General features: G+C 37.2%; 1 protein-coding gene across 55 annotated transcripts in view; it reads left to right on the top strand.

Annotated features, from left to right (window-relative positions):
- PTPRD (protein tyrosine phosphatase receptor type D) overlaps nucleotides 1-21,646 on the top strand; it is a 2,298,757-nt gene that overhangs the window by 1,900,597 nt on the left and 376,514 nt on the right. The gene's annotated exons all lie outside the window — the stretch shown is intronic.

Raw genomic sequence — 21,646 nt, 5'->3', positions numbered from 1 at the left:
AAACCTTTCAGATTTTAAGATTGTTTAGTGTTGTTCATTATTAAAGACACACAATTGATAAACAGTAAGCTAAATATTTGTAATAAATAATGACTTCTTTTTCATTCAGAACAAGAAAATACTGTTGATACAGGCTGTCTTTACTCTTACAATATCCAGCCAAAAGACTGTTTACCAAAATTACTAAGGACAGCTCCATCCCTGTCTCCTTCAATATAGTTATGTGATACATTTGTAAGACAGTTATTTCATTTGTCACACTCTGCATTGCATCTCCCTCCCTCCCCTACTTCTTGGTCGATTTAAAAAAATTTATATAGAGTAAAATCCACTCTTTGTGTTGTACTGTTGTATGAGTCTTGACAGATGCATAGTTATGTATTCATTACTACAATTACATGTAGCAGTTCCTTCACTTCAGAATTTCCCTCACACTGCCGCAATATGTAGCCTTTTGGGTCTGGCTTCTTTCACTGAGCAGAATGCATTTAAGATTCATCCATGTTGTTGCATAAATCAATAGATCATTGCTTGCGTAGCATTATATCCGTATCACAGTTTTATTTATTCCTTTGGGTTGTTTCAAATATTTGGTGATTATGAATGAAGCTACAATAAACATTTATGGGCTGGGAGAAATACGTTTTATCAGTCTCTGGTGTGGTGGTTTATGGACTTTCTAAAAAGCAAAACCAACAGATACCTGGGCCCACCTCCCAACCAACCTAATCAGAATCTCTGTAGATGGGGTCTGGGCTAATAGATTTCATAAAAGCTCCCTACATGGTCCTGCTGGGCAATCAGGCTGAGAATTATTGCTTGGAGACGTGATCTTTGTATTTTTGGTAAATGAGCTCTCGAAGGGTTTTTATTATTATTTTTGCTTGGCAAGGTTTAGTAATTTGAGTAATATAAGATTATGCTTCATATTAGTTGTTTTTCTTAAGGACTTAATTTCATTTCAAGGAGAGAGTTACTGTATGCTAATTAAATCAAGGCCTTTTTAAAGGTACATTTATTGAGGTTTAAGTAGTCATGATAGAAATATATTTATAATATGCCAATTATATCCCTCAAGAATATTTTAATAATTATATATTTGATTAAAAGGCGTACTTGTTAGCTATACAGTATAATTATATGTTTGAATAAACTATTACTAGAACTAAATGAGCTTCCTTAATTACCAAGACAATTATTTTATATTGCTGATGAAATATATTATTATCTTACATATATATTGGTAGTGATTCTTACAGTGTTTTATAATGATATTTAACAACCAGTTAATTAATTATGTTGAGTTATGGCATGAAATAACATTAAATGTTACTATAAATTGGACATTTTGGATATCTGACATTAAAATAAAGTAAGATACTTTCACATCTAGCATTAATTACATAAGAACACATGGAGTTTAAATTAATTTCCCAAACTTAGTAGAAATGTTACTTGAAAGCAATATATTTTGATAATCAAAGTGCTTACCAAGGTGAATTTTTATTTCAGCCTAAAGTTTAAGGCTAGTTTTATTCGTTTGATGGAGATCCTGAGAATAATTCTGTGAACACTAAATGTTTGAAGGCCCTTCATATGTAAAGTTCTCAGAAATAAAGTCTTTTTAATAAGACTTATCTAAAGTATTTAGATTATACTAATTATTATTTCTGATATAAAATCGTTAATTGTTAATTCTGACATAAAAACTCATTTATAATTATGAAAGGGCACATTTTTGATATCCTATTACTGTTATTATTATTGTTATTTTTATTTATTTATTTTTTGAGACAAGGTCTCACTCTGTCACCCAGACTGGAGTGCAGTGGCACAATCACTGCTAACCTCAGCCTCGACCTGTTGGGCTCAGGTGATCCTCCCACCTCAGCCTCCTGAGTAGCTAGGAGTATAGGCGCCTGCCACCATTCCTTGCTAATTTTTGTATTTTTTGTAGAGACGGGGTTTTGCCATGTTGCCCAGGCTGGTCTCAAACTCATGGGCTCAAGTGACCCACCGCCTTGGCTTCCCAGAGTGCTAGGATTACAGGCATAAGCCACCCTGCATGGCCTTATTTTTTAATATCCTCTTGATTTACCTTTTGAATGTTATTAGCTAATGAACATGAGCTGAATGTACTTGACCCTGAGACCTTTAAGAGAGCCAAGTCTTTCAGAAATTTGCTTTCTTGCAAAGGGTTGTAGCTCATTACCAGGAGCATATATGGTCCACTATTGCCAGGAAAAAAGCTTCTAATATTAGTAACAAAGAGCTAATATTTATTGGGCACTTAGGATGTGCGTGCACCTTGCTTCACGCAGATTATTTAATAACAATCATGTGTTTTAAGAACCCTTATTAGCCTAGACTTTAAGATAGGGTAAATTGTAGTTTGGAGGGGTTAAGTAATTTGTCCGTAGTTGTTCGCTGTTTGTTCATAATAAATAATAAGCTGTGATTCATACCTAGGTTGTCTGACTTCAGAGATCACATGCTTAATTCCTGAGGCACTCTCTATTATCTTCATTTGCCCATCTTTATTGCACTTAAAGATGCCCTATTTACCTTTCCCTTAGCACACCAAACATATTTTATAACTCTAGTCACTTTTTTCCTCTTTGATTCCTGTATTTGGTTATGTAGACTGACTCTTCCATTAGGATCTAAATGATTTCTTTTTTATTTTAATTTTTTTATATTGACAGACAACATTATATGTATTTACTGAATATAACTGGATATTTTAATGTATATGTTGTAGAATGACTAAATTTGGCTAAGTAGCCAATGTGTTACCTCATGTAATTATAATTTTTGTTATGAGAACACTTTACATCCATTCTGTTAGCATTTTTCTTTTTCTTTTTCTTTTTCTTTTTTTTTTTTTTTTTGAGATGGAGTCTCACTCTGTCTCCCAGGCTGGAGTGCAGTGATGTGATCTTGGCTCACTGCAAGCTCTGCCTCCTGGGTTCATGCCATTCTCCTGCCTCAGCCTCCCGAGTAGCTGGGACTACAGGTGCCTGCCACCAGGCACAGCTAATTTTTTGTATTTTTTAGTAGAGACAGGGTTTCACTGTGTTAGCCAGGATGGTCTCGATCTCCTGACCTCGTGATCCGCCCACCTCAGCCTCCCAAAGTGCTGGCATTACAGGTGCGAGCCACTGCGCCTGGCCTCTGTTAGCATTTTTGAAGAATGCAGTATCACATTTTCTGTAGTCACCATGTTGTACAGTAGATCTGTTGAACTTATTCCTCTTAAGTAAAATTTTGCGTCCTTTGACCAACATCTCCCCAACCCCTCCCAACCCCCTACCCAGCCTCTGATAGCCACTATTCCACTTTCTACTTCTATGAAATCAGTTTTTCAGATCCCATATATGAGTGAGATCATGGAGTATTTGTCTTTTTGTGCCTGGCTTACTTCACTTGCCATAATGGTCTCCAGACTCATCCATATTGTTGCAAATGACAGCATTTCATTCTTTTTTTAAAGGCTGAGTAGGATTTCACTGTGTACATAATAGGACGTTTTCTTTATTCACTCATCCATTGATGGACACTTAGGTTGCTTCCACATCTTGGCTAATGTGAGTATTACTGCAATAAACAGGGGAATGTACACATCTCTTTGACATACCTATTTCATTTCCTTTGAATATATAGACCTAGTAGTGGGATTGCTGGATCACATGGTAGCTCTGTTTTTTTTTTTTTTTTTTTTTTTTTGAGACAGAGTCTCGCTCTTGTCACCCAGGCTGGAGTGCACTGGTGCGATCTGGGCTCACTGCAACTTCCGACTCCCAAGTTCAAGTGATTCTTCTGCCTCAGTCTCCTGAGTAGCTGGGATTACAGGTGCCCACCACCATGCCCAGCTAATTTTTTTTGTATTTTTTTGGTAGAGACGGGGTTTCACCATGTTGGTCAGGCTGGTCTCGAACTCCTGACCCTAGGTGATCCGCCCACCTCGGCCTCCCAAAGTGCTAGGATTACAGATGTGAGCCACTGCACCTGGCCTGTAGCTTCATTTTTCATATTTAAGGAACTTCCATACTGTTTTCTATAATGGCTGTACTAATTTACATTTCCACCAGTAGCGTGTATGGGTTCCCTTTTCTCCACATCCTCACCAACACCTACCTTTTGTTATTTGATAACAACCACTCTAACAGACATGAGGTGATATTAAATAACTTTTTCTATGTTCTATTTGCACATTGGCTGAGACATGGTATACTCTCAATAACTGGTTGGCTGAACAAAGAACAGATATAAATTTTATACACGGCATCCATTTTTGTTGGATTGAGATTTCCCCTTTATTTCAGAGGTGCCTTAGAAGGCATTTGGAAAGTGAGTCAGTTTTCTTGCATGGTGCAGAGCTAGCTTAGCCTGTGAGGTATAAAATCTTAATGCCTTTTATCCATGGGCAAGTTTGAAGTTCCCCTAAAAGCATAGTGCAATACTGCTGGCACATACAAGGAAACTTGCACTATGATCATTTTTATTCTGAGAGAGACAATACACAACCAGTATAGGTAAGCCGAGAGATGTGGTACCTGGGAGATGACAGATGTGAACACTGTGGTATGCATTATATGGTTTCTTGCTTGAGGAAAAGGTTATTGAAAAATATTTATTGTAGACAATAATAGATTATACTTTAGTAGTGGCCATGGTTAAACCCAATAGTAGGAGACCTTTTCTCTCTGTGAGGAACACCCAATATAATTAGGGAATCAGATCATTAAGCCTTAAATTTCAAAGTAGATGTAACAGATGGAAAGGAAAAACTAGAACTTAGACTACTCACCTCCCTAACTGCCTGCTTCTTGTCTGTACTTCTTTCTTAGGAAATATATGAATTTCTTAGCCCATGCTAAGTAATTTAAGGAACACTTTGTCCCAAGAACAATGTAATCAAGAAACACTGCTACTTTCTGCTGGATGTTTGAAAGGGGCTTTTTATTTTTACATGGTTACTCTGAAGTAACTCAAATCACAGAAGCTGGCTGACCAAAAGGGCATGTTCCTGTCTTTGGTCCATTACTTGCTTTTGAGAGACATAATTCAATTTAAGATCTGCATTTCTGATGGAGAAATATCCATTGCCCATCCAGGTAACATCCTTTCACAACCTTCTGTCACCAAAGAATTATTCAAGTGACCTTGTATGTTTGCTTAAGGTTGGGAGTGACCACATCCCTGGCAGTTCCGTAATATACCCACATATTTTATTGCTGCAACAAAGACATAGAGTATAGTCCTTAAGGTCCTATACTCAAAATAGAAAGTTTGGATAAAGCTAATTGATTGTAGGCTTGCTGTTGTTCATTATCTTAATTAGTCTAGGTAATTAAATCATTAATTGATTGGAGCTGATCCCTGCTAAAGGAAGTAATAAAATAGTAAAACTCAGTGCTTTTCTGTTTGATCCCATAAGAACTGCCATTTCAGTTCTTCATTCGCCTCTTCATTTGTGGTGTTTTGTGCTGTCCAGCGGGGACAGTGGCACGGGAGGATAATGCTAACCTGTGGACATTGCTGTTGCTTCAGAGGCATGCTGCAGTGAAATCAGGAAGCAATCCCAACCTGGCTGTGGTTAATTAACACTGGACGCCAAGCTATGCAGATGCAATGCATTATGAAGACAACCCTGACTCTTGGCAATTAGCTTTCATTGTTTGTTGTGCTTTGCTTGGGTACATCTCTGAGACTGTGAATTTCCATCAAAGGACTCTGACATGCATTCCTGCCTGGCATATGCTCACGCATCTCTGCTCCTGAGATGAGCGCTTTTTTTTCTTAAGCTCAAGTTCAGAGCCTTGGGATAATCGCTCTGTTTCCTAAATATATGAAGTTCTTTTTAAACTTCAAAGCCACAGTAGGGGAAGGAAAAAAAAGAGAGACCATGCAGACTTAGATGGCTTCTAGTGAATTGAATTGGCAAAACCATGAACACTTGTCTTTAGCTGCTGAAATGTGAGATGCTTCCATAAAGCTATTTCAAGTCTGAAAAGTTGCTTTTTAAAATGAATCTCTAATCCAATAACTACAATAATATTCGAGTCAGACTAAATAAAGGAAAGGTAAAGCGGTAAGAAGTTGTTTTACCTTGGGATAAATATCAAACCTCCCTGAAAATCCTATTATATCTAATTTCAGAAGAACTTCCGTAGTAAGCTTGGTTTGATCAAGATCCCTTGGAAACGAGGCAGTTTTCTTTTTTTTTAATTCAGTGTTCTTTCTTATAATGTTTCTCTTGAGGAGAATTGTGGAAGTAATAAAATTCATAATTGGCTTCTTTTCTCCTTTGCTTGGACTAAGTGAGTCTGGCAGTTCTTTGGGAGAATTTGAGTCCTGTACTTTTCTGGTCGACAAGATAGCAGTAGTGAAGCAGCAGAATTGAGTTGAAATGAATGCCTGGCTTGGAATTTACACATATGGATACAGTGCTGACTAAATGCTCCGAATCACAGTTGGCCATTTTTATTACTATTGATAGAGCTTTCAGAGAACTCTGCTCATGGAAAAATACACTTAACAAATATAAATGCTAGGTGCTATTACCAAAAGAAACACCTAGGGAATTGCCTTTACTATATCAGCAGTAGATTATTATTACTACTGTTTTAATCTAGTAAGTAATAAACATGTGATACATAATTATAAAGACATTTTCTACCAAGACATGTATGTGCTTCCTTTAAAACTATTTTATGTGAATATGATAAATTATTTTTTATTCTCAATTTGTTATGTGTTTAACTGCTGTCTAACTTAAGAAGCAGATATATCTTTTATGTCTTCTTTGCTGTTGCTTCTTATGAATTTTAAGAGACAAGGAAATGTTGGTTTAGAAATGGAAAATGATGTTCCCAAGTAATCAGGAAATAATTCAAAATCCAAAACTAGTATTACTTGATACCTTAACTTCTGGGAATTTGTTTCTTGTATGTGCTCCTCTGCATTTGTTAAAATTATAGAATACTTTTGTTTCAAAACAAATTTAGGTACAGAAATTAGCTGGGCGTGGTAGCAGGTGCCTGTAATCCCAGCTACTCGGGAGGCTGAGGCAGGAGAATCACAGAATCCCAGAGGCGGAGGTTGCAGTGAGCCAAGATGGTGCCACTGCACTCCAGTCTGGGTGACAAGTGAGACCATCTCAAAAAACAAAACAACAGTAACAACAACAAAAATTTAGGAAAGTGATCATACTCATTAAGGGAATAATACATTTTTCTTGTGAGAATTACACAAATTTGAAAATCCTTGGGTCAGGGAGTGGTCAACACTGAGCCCTTTTTTTAAACTTATTGAAAATTGCAGTAATATAAGGAGAGGCTCAGATAGAAGTGTGTTATAACCTGTTTTACATGGATATGATGAATTTATACAGTTATGACTTGTGGACAATAGAGGGAGAAAAAGATTGAGAGCCATTGAACTTTCTTTTATTTCTTTTTATTTATTTATTTTTTATATTTTTAAGGAGTCTTGCTCTATCGCCCGGGCTAGAGTGCAATGGCATGATCTTGGCTCACTGCAACCTCCACCTCCCGGGTTCACATGATTCTCCTGCCTCAGCGTCCCAAGTAGCTGGGATTACAGGTGCACACACCACCACACCCGGCTAATTTTTTTTTTTTTGTATTTTTAGTAGAGATTTGGCCAGACTGGTCTTCGACTCCTGACCTCGTGATCCGCTCGCCTCATTTCTTTTTACCATCTAAATTGCATTATCTCTGTGATAGGCTCCTCGGGTATTTTACCTGTCTTAAGCTTCCATATTCTGTTTGTACAGTGCTTTGATAGTGTACAGACAACTTTCATACACATCACCTCACTTAACCTTTAATGCATCCCCTGTAAGGGAGACATTAAGTCCATTTTCAAGTTCATGATACTCTACGTAATGAGCTAGGACTCAAACTCAGATTTTCTGATTCCAGGAACAGATTTTCTTTTTAATGACCTTAAGCCTATTCCTTTTTTTCCTTCTTCCCATCCTCCTTCCTACTCTGCTTTCCTCCTTCCCTGTAACTCCTTCCTTCCTTTCTTCCGTCATTCATTCAGAAATGCCTACTGAGATTATATTACTGAGAGGAAACCAATTCGGCTGGAGTTTAGGGAGTGTGTAGGGAGATGCAGAGGATGGAGTGGGAGGGGGGAAGGCAGCCAACCCTGCACAACGTTGCTGGCTCTGGTGTGGAGTGTGAACTTTGCCTGCTCTGTAAACTCAGTGTTCATCAAGGGAAGAGTGGTTGATCAGGTGAGAGAGAATGCTGGCCCCTACTCTTATGGTGGCTGTGGAATTGGAGAGAAGTGGATGGATGCCAGAAATATGTAGGCAGGTTGAATAAACAAGAGGAAGTAAATTATTTCCTCATATATTGAGGGTGAGTATATAAGGAAATGTCAAGGATGACTCCCAGATTTGTGTTAAGAGCACCTGTTGGGGTGATTGTAGTATTTATTGATAAGAAACACTCGGAGGAGGGTAGAGTTGTTTGGCTTGAATGGAGAATCATGAGCTCGGTTTGGGACATATTGAATTTTATCTGTCTGTTAAATAACCTTCTGGAGATGCCAAATAAGCAATTTGATACTTGAATCCAGAACTCAGAAAACTGGGCTGGGGATATTCTCTTGGAAGTCGCTAGCATATAAATGGTGACAGAGCCACGGGATTAGACAAAATCAACAAAAAAGAGAATAACAATGCCGTAGGGTTCAAGACCCAAGCTTTGGGTTCCCCAGTTAATAGAATTAATAGAGGTGAGGATGAGAAGTCGAGGGGAAACAGGAGAAAAGAGAAAGAAAAACAATAGAGTTGGAGGAAAATCCAGGGAAGGTTGTGTCCTAGAGGCCGCATGCATAGAGGTTTGGAGGAAAGCTGCTCTCAAATGCTGTTGATGGATCTGAACATGTCCATTGGACTTGGTAATAGCAGGGACATTAATGACATCAGGGAGACTGAGGTGGTGGAATGGTGGAACTGAAAGGGTAAAGAGGAATAATTTTTAAGGGAGAAGTGGAACAGAGAATTCTGAATCTGGGAATATTCATTTAACTCAGACAATTCAAAGCAGAATATTTTTTATGTAATATCATAAGTACTCATTTAACAAAAAAAGAGCACTTTAAACTTCTAGGCTTCTAGACTTTATCATATTTCTTCACTTTCCTGCTGATCTCCTCAAAGAATAGTCTATTACCATCCTGCATATTTGGTCTGGAGAGGAAGTCTAAATAGATTTCCAGATTCACTATTGGTATAATCCCCAAGTACTTTTTCATAATTTGGTATCTGACCAGCTCTTCTGCTGATTTGATGGAACCCTTTTATGGTGAACTGCTTAAAATTCTTTATGTAATTGGAAATTGTCTTTATGAATAATACAAACTTCTCCAGTCAATCCAGTTGATTCAGTAGTGCTAACTCTCCCCAAAATGTCCTCCTTCCTCTTGTTTTTAGGCTGAACTAAATTGTATATCTTATGGCCGGGCGCAGTGGCTCACGCCTGTAATCCCAGCACTTTGGGAGGCCGAGGCGGGCGAATCACAAGATCAGGAGTTTGAGACTGGCCTGGCCAACATGGTGAAACCCCGTCTTTACTAAAAATACAAAAAATTCGCTGGGCGTAGTGGCGGGCGCCTGTAATCCCAGCTACTGGGGAGGCTGAGGCAGGAGAATCGCTTGAACACGGGAGGTTGCAGTGAGCCGAGATCGTGCCACTGCACTCCAGCTGGGGCGACATAGCAAGACTCTGTCTAAAAGAAACCCAAAAAATTGCACCTCTTATATTGTGGCTTTTCTTAAAGACCCAGGGAGAACCTCTTGTGCAGCTCTCCTTTACAGATGTCTATCAAAAAACTCCCAACTGTCCTTGTTGGCTTTATTTTTATCTCTTCAAAACTGGAGCTTTCTGAAGACAGGGATACTGTTTCTTTATTCTCATGAACTCACGTAGTAGGTAATCAGTAAATGTTTGTTGAATGAATCCATGAACCTCAACTATGCTGATCCAACTGAGAAGCAAGAAGTATAAAAAAAAGACCACAGAAGATAAGGCACACCAAATAAGCACAGTACTTTATTTCAAGTAAAAGCCCAGAAACCTCACTCAGAGCATTTTTTTTTTTTTTACTTTACACACTAAAATGCTTATTTATCTGGCAGCCATTCTGTCCTATATAAACGTAGACCAACTGCTGACCCACTGATAAATTCCAGAAAAATCCAAGCAACCGTCTGACAGGGAAATTAAAAGCTATGAAAGTAGATGAGAACAAAAGCTACAAAAAGTAGGAGAGCAAACTAAAGTGACACAAAGTAATTGAGAGTCCTCACGTTAAAAAAAATAAAGTGGTCTGCCAAGGCCTTCTATCAGATCTAAAGCCAAATGTATAAATGAATTTACTTAAACAGTATAAATAAACCCTGATTTATCAGGAAATGATCATTCTGTTGTTCAAAAAAGCAGAACGACATTTAATACATTGAGAAAAGAATAAAGATTACAATAAAGTATGAAAATAGGTATAGTTTAGAGAAACAAACCCTCACTTTTATATGGAATACTCTATTTTTAATGGTGGCAGTAACTGAGATAGTATTGTGGTAAACACATCAGAGTATTCAGGGAGATTAAAATAATTTGGGGCTGGGAATGCATTGCATAAGAATTGGGCATCCAAGGGTGACAAAGGAAGAGCAGTATGTAGCAAATGGCACAAAATCTTTGGGAAATTATTATTATTATTATTTGAGACGGAGTTTCACGCTTGTTGCCCAGGCTGGAGTGCAATGGCGCGATCTCAGCTCACTGCAACCTCCGCCTCCCAGGTTCCAGTGATTCTCCTGCCTCAGCCTCCCAAGTAGCTTTGGATTAGAGGCATGTGCCACCACGCCCGGCTAATTTTATTTTTTTTTGGTAGAGACGGGGTTTCTCCATGTTGGTCAGGCTGGTTTCGAGCTCCCGACCTCAAGTGATCCGCTCACCTCGGCCTCCCAAAGTGCTGGGATTACAGGCGTGAGCCGCTGAGCCCGGCTGGGAAATTATTATGCATTAACATAGAGAAATTTACTTTCTGTCATTATAATACTTGAGTTGAAATATTAAATGTACTCTTTTACCTTTCCATGGTTGGATACTTTGTTTCTCCCCAGAGCAATGGAAAAGATTCTTATTTTTTTTCCCCCTGAATTATGGCACTAAAATAAAAATTTAACTTTCTTTTTTTTGAGATGGAGTCTTGCTTTGTCGTCCAGGCTGGAGTACAGTGGCATGATCTTGGCTCACTGTAACCTCCACCTCCCGGGTTCAAGTGATTCTCCTGCCTCAGCGTCCTGAGTAGCTGGGATTACAGGCACGCATCACCACACCTGGCTAATTTTTGTATTTTTAATAGAGACGGGGATTCACCATGTTGGTCGGGCTGGTCTCGAACTCCTGACCTTGTGATCTGCCTGCCTCGGCCTCCCAAAGTGCTGGGATTACAGGAAAAATTTTACTTTCATGAAAAAATTCCCAAACTTTATGCTTCCTCTTTTTAATTTAAATTGTTGGTGAGCAATGGTATTTAAAGGACAAGACACCTTGAATGAATATTACTAGTGTTTTAGCAACTCAAACATTGGCTAAAGGGTATTTGAAAGTTGTATGTCTGCATTAATGCAACTTCAGATTTGTGTGTGTGTGGATTTGTTCACTGCTTAGTGATGGTAAAGTCAAGAGTTTTCTTTAATTACTCTCCATGAAAAGATTTTTTTCTCTTTTGTGTGCTTCTGGATTCAATTGCCTGTTTTTACAAATGAATGAAAACATTGACTGTGACTGAGGTTCTGTAATACAACGTATTATTTTTCTCACTCCTTAGAAATAATAAAAGCACATCATAATACATCTTTGCTATTAACAGCTGACCTCCAGTGTGCTGTGGAACCACGTAATTGAATAACACTTTTTGTAGAGGGTGATATTCAATAGTAGAAATGAATTTAAGTACATCATGATGATAAAGCAGTTGTTTGACAATTGTGAAAGTTCTGAAATGGAAAAGCTGTTTTGATTCCTTTATGCTGACTACTCTTCTTAGTGGAATTCGAGGGTTTTACTACAGTTCAGTAAATAATAATTTAGATGCATTTTTACTGATGGCAGCATAGTTTCTTAAATGAAAGTAATTTTGTAGTATGATGATCAAATTATATAGTTTCCATTAAGATTTACAGCAGCAGAATGTCACATGCATTGATTAAAAAGGGAGTGAAATTTGGAAAATACAAACTATTTGAAATGGCCCATGGGATAATAAGGAATTTAAAAAACCATTGATTACTGGCAGTTGTACCACTGTTCAGAAATTGCTGATTTTGTATTGTATGTCCCATATTTTAAGAATGCCGCCATCATAAATGTTGGAATTGGGTTCTCAGCATTACTGATATTTGAAAATACACAGAGAAAAAAATGGTTAAATCAATCAGGGCCTACAAAATGGCCATGTTTAGTTTTTGCCCTTATCACAATGGGAAACTCTTGCTAGGCTTTCTGCAGATTTTAATGTAAAATGCTACCTAATTGTGCAAAATATTACCATGGAGTATGAATGTGTTCTTTTTTTTTTTTTCTTTTGGGCGTTGCACTGGCCTTTCTTTTCAATAAAGATTCTACTGAAGCAATGTGATGGATACCATTTCAGAAAAGAATTAATTTTTTACAACTTGTTTATTTAGTACATTAAGCATTCATATTGGTATATGAAATTATATTCATGAAAGTTACTGGCCCAACCAAGTAGAATCACAAATCAGAAACACTTGGTTTTAATTTCAACATGTTTTCATAAAATTATTTTCAAACTTGTCCAATGGAGTCAGTTTACTTTGTTTTCCTTTGTTAAATAAATGTATTCTAAATGAGTCATTATAGAGGGATTTAATTCTAGTTGTTAAGGGATATGGGGGAAAAATGTCCTCAAATGCTTATCATGAAAAATACCATGTATTTACATTATTTCAGGAATTAATCTTTTTTACTTTTAATGATATGAGGTGTATTGACAGAGTTTCTTTGTCTGCCTCATCTTTCTGTGGGGATATGTTGAAAGGCCCTGCAAGAAACCAGAAACTTGATTTAATAACTTGCCAGAGCAACTGTTTAGCATCTGTCCTCAAGGCAAAGAGTTGAACTGATAGATTTCATAAAGAAAATGAGGAATCATTATACACTTCATCGGAATTTCATCACTTGTTAGAAATTTACTCAAAGGATCATAAATTCTGTATTTTTCATTATTCAGGAATTCTGAAAAAAGAGTGTGCATTTTGTGATAACAAAAATTCTGGTAGGGTATGAGAAATCCATCCTTAAAGAAGAAAAGAATTCACAACTTCAAATGGATGCTGTTTTCTCATGAAGGATTTGCCCAGTGGCTGGAGAGTGCTTCTAATATTATTATATAATATAATATTATGGGTGTAGATGCCAGTTTTGAGATGATGTTTATCAGCACTCCTGTTCTTGAACAGTGAGAAGGTATTTATTGGGCATGTTAAGAACAGTAAAAATCAGGAAAAACAAAGGATAGGATTGCTATGCGTTATCCCCAACCAAACAGATTGGTAACAAGCTATCTAGTTTCCTGCGAAAAGGCGATTTCTGTATTATGCCGGAGTATTTCTGTATGCTCTCCCTGGAGACAGTTTTCAGGCAGTTTCACCATGAGGCGGCAGGTGTAGAATCCCCTCAGGATGCATTTTGAACCTGTGGTCATACAGCCTTCCTGAGTTTAAAGATAAAACGTATCCTTTGTTGTTTTGTAGGAAACTAAATAGGCCTTGATAAAGTACAGATGTAGATAAAACTTTCAACAGAAAATGACTGAAGAATTTTTAAATCCAGCTATTTGTTAATAAATGTACACCACCTTTACATTTGTAACATGAATCATAGGAGATACACTTGCTACATTTCCGCAGTTAACAGTAATCCTTTCTCAAGAACATTTAAAACTATGCCTACAGCCACCGTTTTTTACACTATCACTAACTGTCGTCTTCGCTGTCCTTGATTCTTGATTTTCACCAGCATTTTCAAAAATGGATAGTCTTAAAAGCTACAGCAGTTAGAGACAGTGTAAGTAAAGCACTGAATAAACATCTATCACACAGTAGGTATTCAGTGCATAAGTATGCATTCAGTATGCTAGTACTCTGCATTTTACAATATCTACATCATCAACTTTGATCCTCATTTTTTGAGTGTTGTATTTAAAACTGGTTGCCTTAAATGGAAAATGACATAAAGCTTTATGTTTGTATAAAATAAAGTTTCACAAATTTATACTGAATGCTTACTGTGGACATGGTGATAATCATAGCAGAGACTACAGAGGACTGTGAATGACACTTTCCATGACCTCAGAAGTTTAGAGCCTCCCATGGACACTTGTAATTAAGTTGTTTCTGCACTATGGCAGTGGATGGAAAATTAGGGATATGTTATTTAAATGACAACCCATATTTACCAGTGCTCTGGTAGAAAGTTTTGATAACTTCAGTTGTTTATTCTTCCCACCAATAATGTCATTGCATACAATTGTGTGTGCTCCTCCCCAAACACACACACACACACACCCACGCACCCACACATACACACCTGTCTTTAAAAAAATCCAGGCCTGGGCGTGGTGGCTCATGCCTGTAATCCCAGCACTTTGAGAGGCCAAGGCAGGTGGATTACTTGAGGTCAGGAGTTCGAGACTAGCCTGGCCAACATGGTGAAAACTCATCTCTACTAAAAATACGAAAATTAGCCGGGTGTGGTGGCGGGCACCTGTAAGTCCAGCTACTCAGGAGGCTGAGGCAGGAGCATTGCTTGAACCTGGGAGGTGGGGATTGCAGTGAGCCAAGATCACACCACTGCACTCCAGCCTAGGTGACAGGGCAAAATTCTGTCTCAAAAAAAAAAAAAAAAAAAAAAAGTACATAAAAATAAATAAATAATAAAAAATCCCAAATCAACAACAAACTTACAATCTGAAAATTCCACCAGGAAAAGAATGCTTTAAAATATATTTAAAGAGCCCCATGATCCATCTCATTGGGCCTCTAGATTTCTCTGGCTATTAAGCTGAGGATGGTACATGAAGGGAATGTAAAAGCCCTTTTCTCCCTTTTCCCTTCCCTACGTATAGTCAGTCCTCAGAAATTAGATTTATTCTTTTATTTCCAATCAACTACTTAATTTTGACCCTAGTTCCATGGTCGTGATTTTCTGACTCTTATGTTTTGTCCAAAAGCCAAATACTAGACAACAGACTTGTGCTTATTTAGTGGAAGCAAAAATAGGATTCTTCTAGGCAGAAACTGTTACTGTTGTTCTCACGCTTCCGCAAGCATTTTGTAACCCATTTGATTTTTTAAAAGAAAGAGAAAACTAAAATGAAGAAACCGTTATTGGAAAGTTCAAGGTATCATCTCTTTCTTCTGTGCACCTCTGTGTAGCTGTGATGTTTGTCGACAATTCTGGCAGGAATACTAAGAAAGGGAACGGTTTTTACAGTTCTCAGAACCTTCTACAGCATAAGCAATTTATGTGGATTTAAAATGTATCAATTTAACTTGGAATGAAGTAAAAACTCCTTATCTTGGCTTACAAGGCCGTTGGTTGACCTAGCTTCTGCATTCCTCTCTGCCGTCATCTTATGTCAGACCCTGTTAGCTCACGACATTTTAATTCTCTTGACATTTTCATCCATTGTCTTCCCTGTTCTTGTAATTCTTTCTCCGTCTAACCTAACTCATCTTTCTCCCCTGCCCCCTCTTCTGTGATGCCTTTCCTGACCACTCTAAATGGACCTCTCTCCTCTACTTCCTTCTGCTAATCACCAAGTTTATCTAATTCATAACACGTCCCATCTGGATTGCTCAGTGATTACTTGTCCCCCCACCCCAAGACTGGAGGGACTTTAACTGTTTTCCTCCACACATCTAGAATTTAATGTAGAGTTTAGTGCAAGTAGGTGTTCAATAAACATTTGATAGTTAAGTGAATAAATCAATGAGTTAATGGGAGAGAGCTGAATTTCACTGAAGATGATTTACTCCTTCATCTGCAAGATAAGGGAAAGAGCCTTGCCACAGAAAATCTGTTGGAAAGCAAGAATGGTAGAGGCCAGCCCTCTTGGTTTCCCATCCCGTGTCCTCTTCTCTCTGTTGTGTTGTGTTGTTACCTTGAAAAACATAACGTGAAGGTGGTGTTTGGTCCTCAACCCAGCTGAGGTCTGCTGCCTCTGAAGATGTCTCTGCTGATCCAGTTTCTGGAGCGCCTCTTGGGTTGTGCTTTTACTCTCTTATGTCAGGTGTCATACTGGAGTTTCTGAGCAATCAAATAGAAATCCTATATAGGGTAAGGAGTCAATAACATTTATTTTGATCTAGATTTTGGTTTGGAGCAGGTGGTTGGGTTAAAAGTCCAACAAGATAATCTGAGAATAGAGAGAAAGCAAATGATTGTGCGTGTACCACTCTCACATTTACTTACAGTAATTTCCAACTTAAGAAAACTGGATATGCTAAAACAAAGTGAAAGCAAACTTCAGTTGAAGGCTTTCTTAAGTAGGGAGCATCCCTAGGAAATTTAAAATATGATTTGATTTATCATAGATCAGTTTATTAATTTTCTAGGAGCTTCTGCCTTAGAATTTTGTGATTCTATGAAGTTCAGCTATAGTAGCTTTGATATATAGATGAGAAAATAGAATAAAATGTTTATCACTTACTCAAAAATTATATATAATCATTTATGCAACTTACCTACCAATGAGAATGACTCCTTGGAATATAAATTGGTATCTGATAGTGTCTGGGCATATAAACAGACTATTGACAGACATTGTTGTTTGCCTGTTAGACGCTTCCTTCTTGCTTGCCTATAACATTGACCCAGATTTTATCTACTCTCATTCTATAGTAACCTGCTGTGTATGCCAGTGGGTGGGGGTGCGGGGGTGGGGCTGGCTCCTAAGTGGCAAATCTTACTGGTTGAAAAAAGTGAAGTGGTCTCAGTTTCCTGCTAAGTGATGCACTTAAACATGGCCATGTGATTCAATCCTGGTGAATGAAAATTTAGAGCAAATACACTGGGGAGTTTTTGAGAAGGGTTTATTTACTCACAAGATTGGCACCAAGACAAAGATGTTTCCTTTTCTGTTCTTGAATATTTCCTCTGTATGTGGTGTTTAGAGCTGCTGCAGGCCTGTAGGGATCATGAGAGGAACCAGTCTAAGGAGACAAACCAGCACAATGAGAAAGGCAGAGGGGACAGACGGATGGGAAAAGACTGAGCGATTGAGCTGCTATTGAGTAGCTGAATAAATCACCCTCCCTCAGGTTTTATGTGACAGAATGATGTCCTTATTTTTTAAACCACTTTTAGTAGGATGTTCTGTTATCTATAGCCCAAAATATTTTGACGGATATGTTTGTTGGGTCAAGTAAAGAATTGTTTGGGACTGTAGCAGTGCTTACAGTTCCAAGCCATGGGGCTCCACAGTAAGAAAGAGAACAACAAAGAAGGTACATATTTTAAGATTTAAGCAGCTCCGAAGGCTAAACATAGAAAAAAAAATAGGTAGTATACAGATTTGCCAACACCCATGAATAATAGGTATTTATTATATGCAGCTTAAAAAGAAATTATGAATTGAATTTGTGAATTTTGCTTCATTTTCTGAATGTGGGTAAAAATGTCTAAGCACAAGCAAGTAAGTTTCCTTGGCATATGCAGAAAACAAGTGTTTTTAATCCTGAATAAAATGTATTGTTGTTTGTCATTTTTATCTTCTGCTGGTGAGCATGTTTAGATCCTACCTAAACATATTTTTCTTATACATTTAACTTTTCTATGGAAAATACCAAATCCCTGAACATTTCTATTTCAGTGGGACCGATTACAAATCATGTTTTCCATCAGACTTTTATTGTAGAAGTGTTGTTTGTATGAATGTTATCAGTATGCATTTGTTTTGGGGTTAGAGGCTTCTCTAAATTGGATACCTCTATGGATTCTGCTTCCTTTTGCTAAACATGAAAAAAAAAATTACAACTTTTAAAATTTCTCTCCCATGGCTATTTTCTATTCATATCTCCCATTCCTTCTTGAGGCAAAAGAAGTAATTTATATAATTCCCAGAAAATTATTTATTTCATTCAGATTTAAAAATTTATTAGCTCTGCATTTAAATATATTCTCTTATTTAAAATACATCCCATCACTATCCATTGTTAAATCATGTTTTCACATCTAGGTAAGATATTCAGAGATTTACCTGATTATTTACAAGAAGACTTAAACGTACAAGCATTTGAATATTAATGACACAGACTTTTCTTTTGAGATTTCCAATGCTTTTGTAAAGTAAAAATTATCTACTTTTAAATTATTAAAACATCTGCATCTTTCAGTGCTTCTCAATCTAGCATTTAGGAAAATCTGAGGGCTATTAACAAGTCTATAGAGAAAAAAGTCACCCTACAAAAATACATTCAAGCAACGCAAGTTGTTCTGTTGGCTTGTTTTGTTGTGGAAGTGTTTTGTGTGTGTAGGTGTTGTTTTCTCAGCTTTGCTTTGCTTTTACTATGGGACTTCTCAGAGCAATGAACATGCAAATGTATGCAAAGCAGTTTCAGGACTTGCTCTGTAGAAACAGCTCACTTACCTTGATTAACACGCTACATTTCCTCGTAACCAGAGAGCGATTTCTCAGACTTCTGTCACTTACATCGAATATGGACAGTTGATTGATGTACACCCCTCGTAGAATATGAGCTCCTGGAGGAAGCTTAACCACCTTATTTTCTAAGTACTGATAAAGTGCTTGCAAAGAATAAGACTTTAGGGAAATGAAAAAACATAGTGAATGCTAATAATTTAAGCACCTTAATGCCTATATTTGGCCATGAGTTGCTAGGATACAGTTTCTTTCCATGTTTTCTCTGATATCCCAGTTTATTTTCATTGGCGTACGTCAACATGGAGAAGAAGGATATGTTTGTCATGAGAGGAAAGTGAATGATCCCGTGTGGGAGTTTCTTTCAAGTCCATAGGAGACAAGAAGATGAGGTGTTCCACTACTCAACTGAGTAAGGTTTCAGGAAGTAGACAGGATTTACAGAGCTGCTTGAAAAGTATAGGTGGGAGTTGTGGTGGTGGACTGAGAGACAGTGGAAAAAACTGTGAAACTTACCTTCAACCTTCAGGTGCAAAGGACACGAGCAAGTATCCCCAAAACTCCCGGCGCATAATACCACATAGGCCTAACAATCATAGAGTTACCATTTACAATTTTGACTGTTTTTAATAACATACCTCAGAGTGTCAGGACATGCAGTCTGTATACATTTTGCTAATCTTTGGAGCTTGGATTTGAATCACACTGGCGTTAAGCCTGGTGTGATGAATGGAACCCAAAACTGAGTAGTGAATTTAGTTTACTGCCAAACATTGATGTTTTGATTTAGGTTTATTCTATTGTCTTGTGGATTAAGTTGACAGTAACTCTTGACACATGTTAAAAACTGTGTTTCTTTTTGAAAATTTATGAATTTGGGGGTTCTTAAAAGTCTGGAAAATAATCTTTTGTGGAAGTATAGAAGTGAAGGTATCAAAAGGAGGCGTAGGTCAGTGTGCCATATCATTACACAGCACTTAACAATTTTAAAAGTATTTCACGTTCCTGACTTACTTGATTTTCATGACAGCTTTTTGAGACAGATAGGGCTAATTTCAATATGCCATTTTCTTGGAAATCAAAGTAGCTTTCCTATGGTAGAGATTGCTAGTGTTCACTAATACGTTCTTTATTTTCAAGAGCACATCATTAAATCAAATTCTCAGCTAGGAAAGATGAGGCAATGGTTAATGGGATGTGATTGGAAATGATGTGGAAGTGAGTGGTGCCACCTCTAGGCTAAGCTGTTTTAAGAATGGAGGTGGCTTCTGAAGACAGGAGGTCCAATGGAAGATTCCAGGAAGAGATGATAGAACCACTAGATGGAAGAAACTGAGTCTTTAAGTCTACATGGAGCAAAGCCTCCGTACAATTCACATTAAATTGTGACATGAATGAAACAATTAATGTTATTGTGTTCAGCTACTGAGATGGTAGACTGTTTATAACAGCAGTCAGCCTTCTCTAATCCACCTGCTGGCTCTTTACTTAGTTTATTTTCATTATTTTTTATTACTAATCTATGTAAGTGAAAATCTTTTATTTATAAATTAATGCAAAGCTGTTTGAGAGTCTGAAGAAGGAAATATGATCAAAAAGAGAAGAAGGAATTTTAGAGACCATCAGAGTCGGAATTTTCCAAAGGGAGAATAGTAAAAATCCAGGAAGTAGATGCCCTCAGTTCTGAACCCAGTGAGTATGCAATAGAATGATAGAAATAGGAGGTATGAAGGAAAAACCAACATGATTATGAGTTGAATGGCACTATTTCAAGACTTTTGTTGTTGAAATGCAAGCCAGTATATACTTGGTGTGAGATGGGACTAATATGAAGGAATAAAATAAAGTTGCATAAAGTTGCTTTTGGTATAAAGTTAGTTTAGATTACAGGAGGATTTGATCACATCACATTGAAAATGTGAAAGGAAGTCATAACCAACGTATTTTAAGAAAGCTGGCAAGTACTGAGGTAAAAATTGTTTGGCCTCTTGGAATCTGGTTACTATTTTACAACCTCAAAGGATAATTCAGAATGCTGTTTGTACCAATAAGTATATTCAGGCAAATCACCTTCAAATCCAATAGAATTCTTATGTAATGAAGGTTTCAAAAGACTTGTGAAATTTCAAGATTTATAGAGATTCTGACCAACCAGGAGAGGTTTGTTCATTTTTTTTTTCTCCTTTGTATGTTGCTGCTACTCTCTTTATCCCTTGTTCAAAACAGACATTACTATTTGATAATAGCACTCTTCTATTTTTTTTTTTTTTTCTCTAGAGAAGAACAGCCTCAGAATCCTTCTGAACATGGTACTGTAGACACTCTCCTCAGAAATTGTTTCCCTTGGAGGCAGCACAGTAGGATGGAGAGGAAGAAACCAATAGTGGATACGCATATGTTTGGATAAACGACCTCTTTAATCAAAATGTCATTTCTTTTTTTTTCTCTTCTCCCTTAGGTCCTTCTCGAATCAAATGAGTTAGTACATATTTTAGAACAGTGGCCATGGGGAATATTCGGGGATGTGGCCACGAGGAATAGTTTTGTCAAAAGCCATTTCATTATTTTTTTGAACTCCTTTCTTCTCATTCTTAGTTTACAAATTGTTTTCCATTCTGAACTCTTAGGAGAGAAAGATAATTTTTTCTTTCACATGTTCTCAGAGGCTTACTTTTGTGAAATTTACTAATACCTCCCTTGATGGAGGAAAAGACAGAAATGCCCCAGTCAAATCCATTTTTCCACTTAATTATTAAGTCTGCTTAATATTCAAGATTAAAATTGTCTGTTAAAAGGGAGGTCTAGGTACTTGAATATTCAAAGTCCTTTGGCATATTTTGAAAATTGAAATTAAGTAATGTCCTGTATATTTTTAAGTTGCTAAAAGAGTTTTCTTAGTTTTCACTAA

Source organism: Homo sapiens, chromosome 9 (assembly GCF_000001405.40).
Source record: "Homo sapiens chromosome 9, GRCh38.p14 Primary Assembly".
Lineage (NCBI taxonomy): Eukaryota > Metazoa > Chordata > Mammalia > Primates > Hominidae > Homo > Homo sapiens.
Note: the sequence above shows the minus strand (reverse complement) of the source record. Positions and strands in the feature narration are given on the sequence as shown.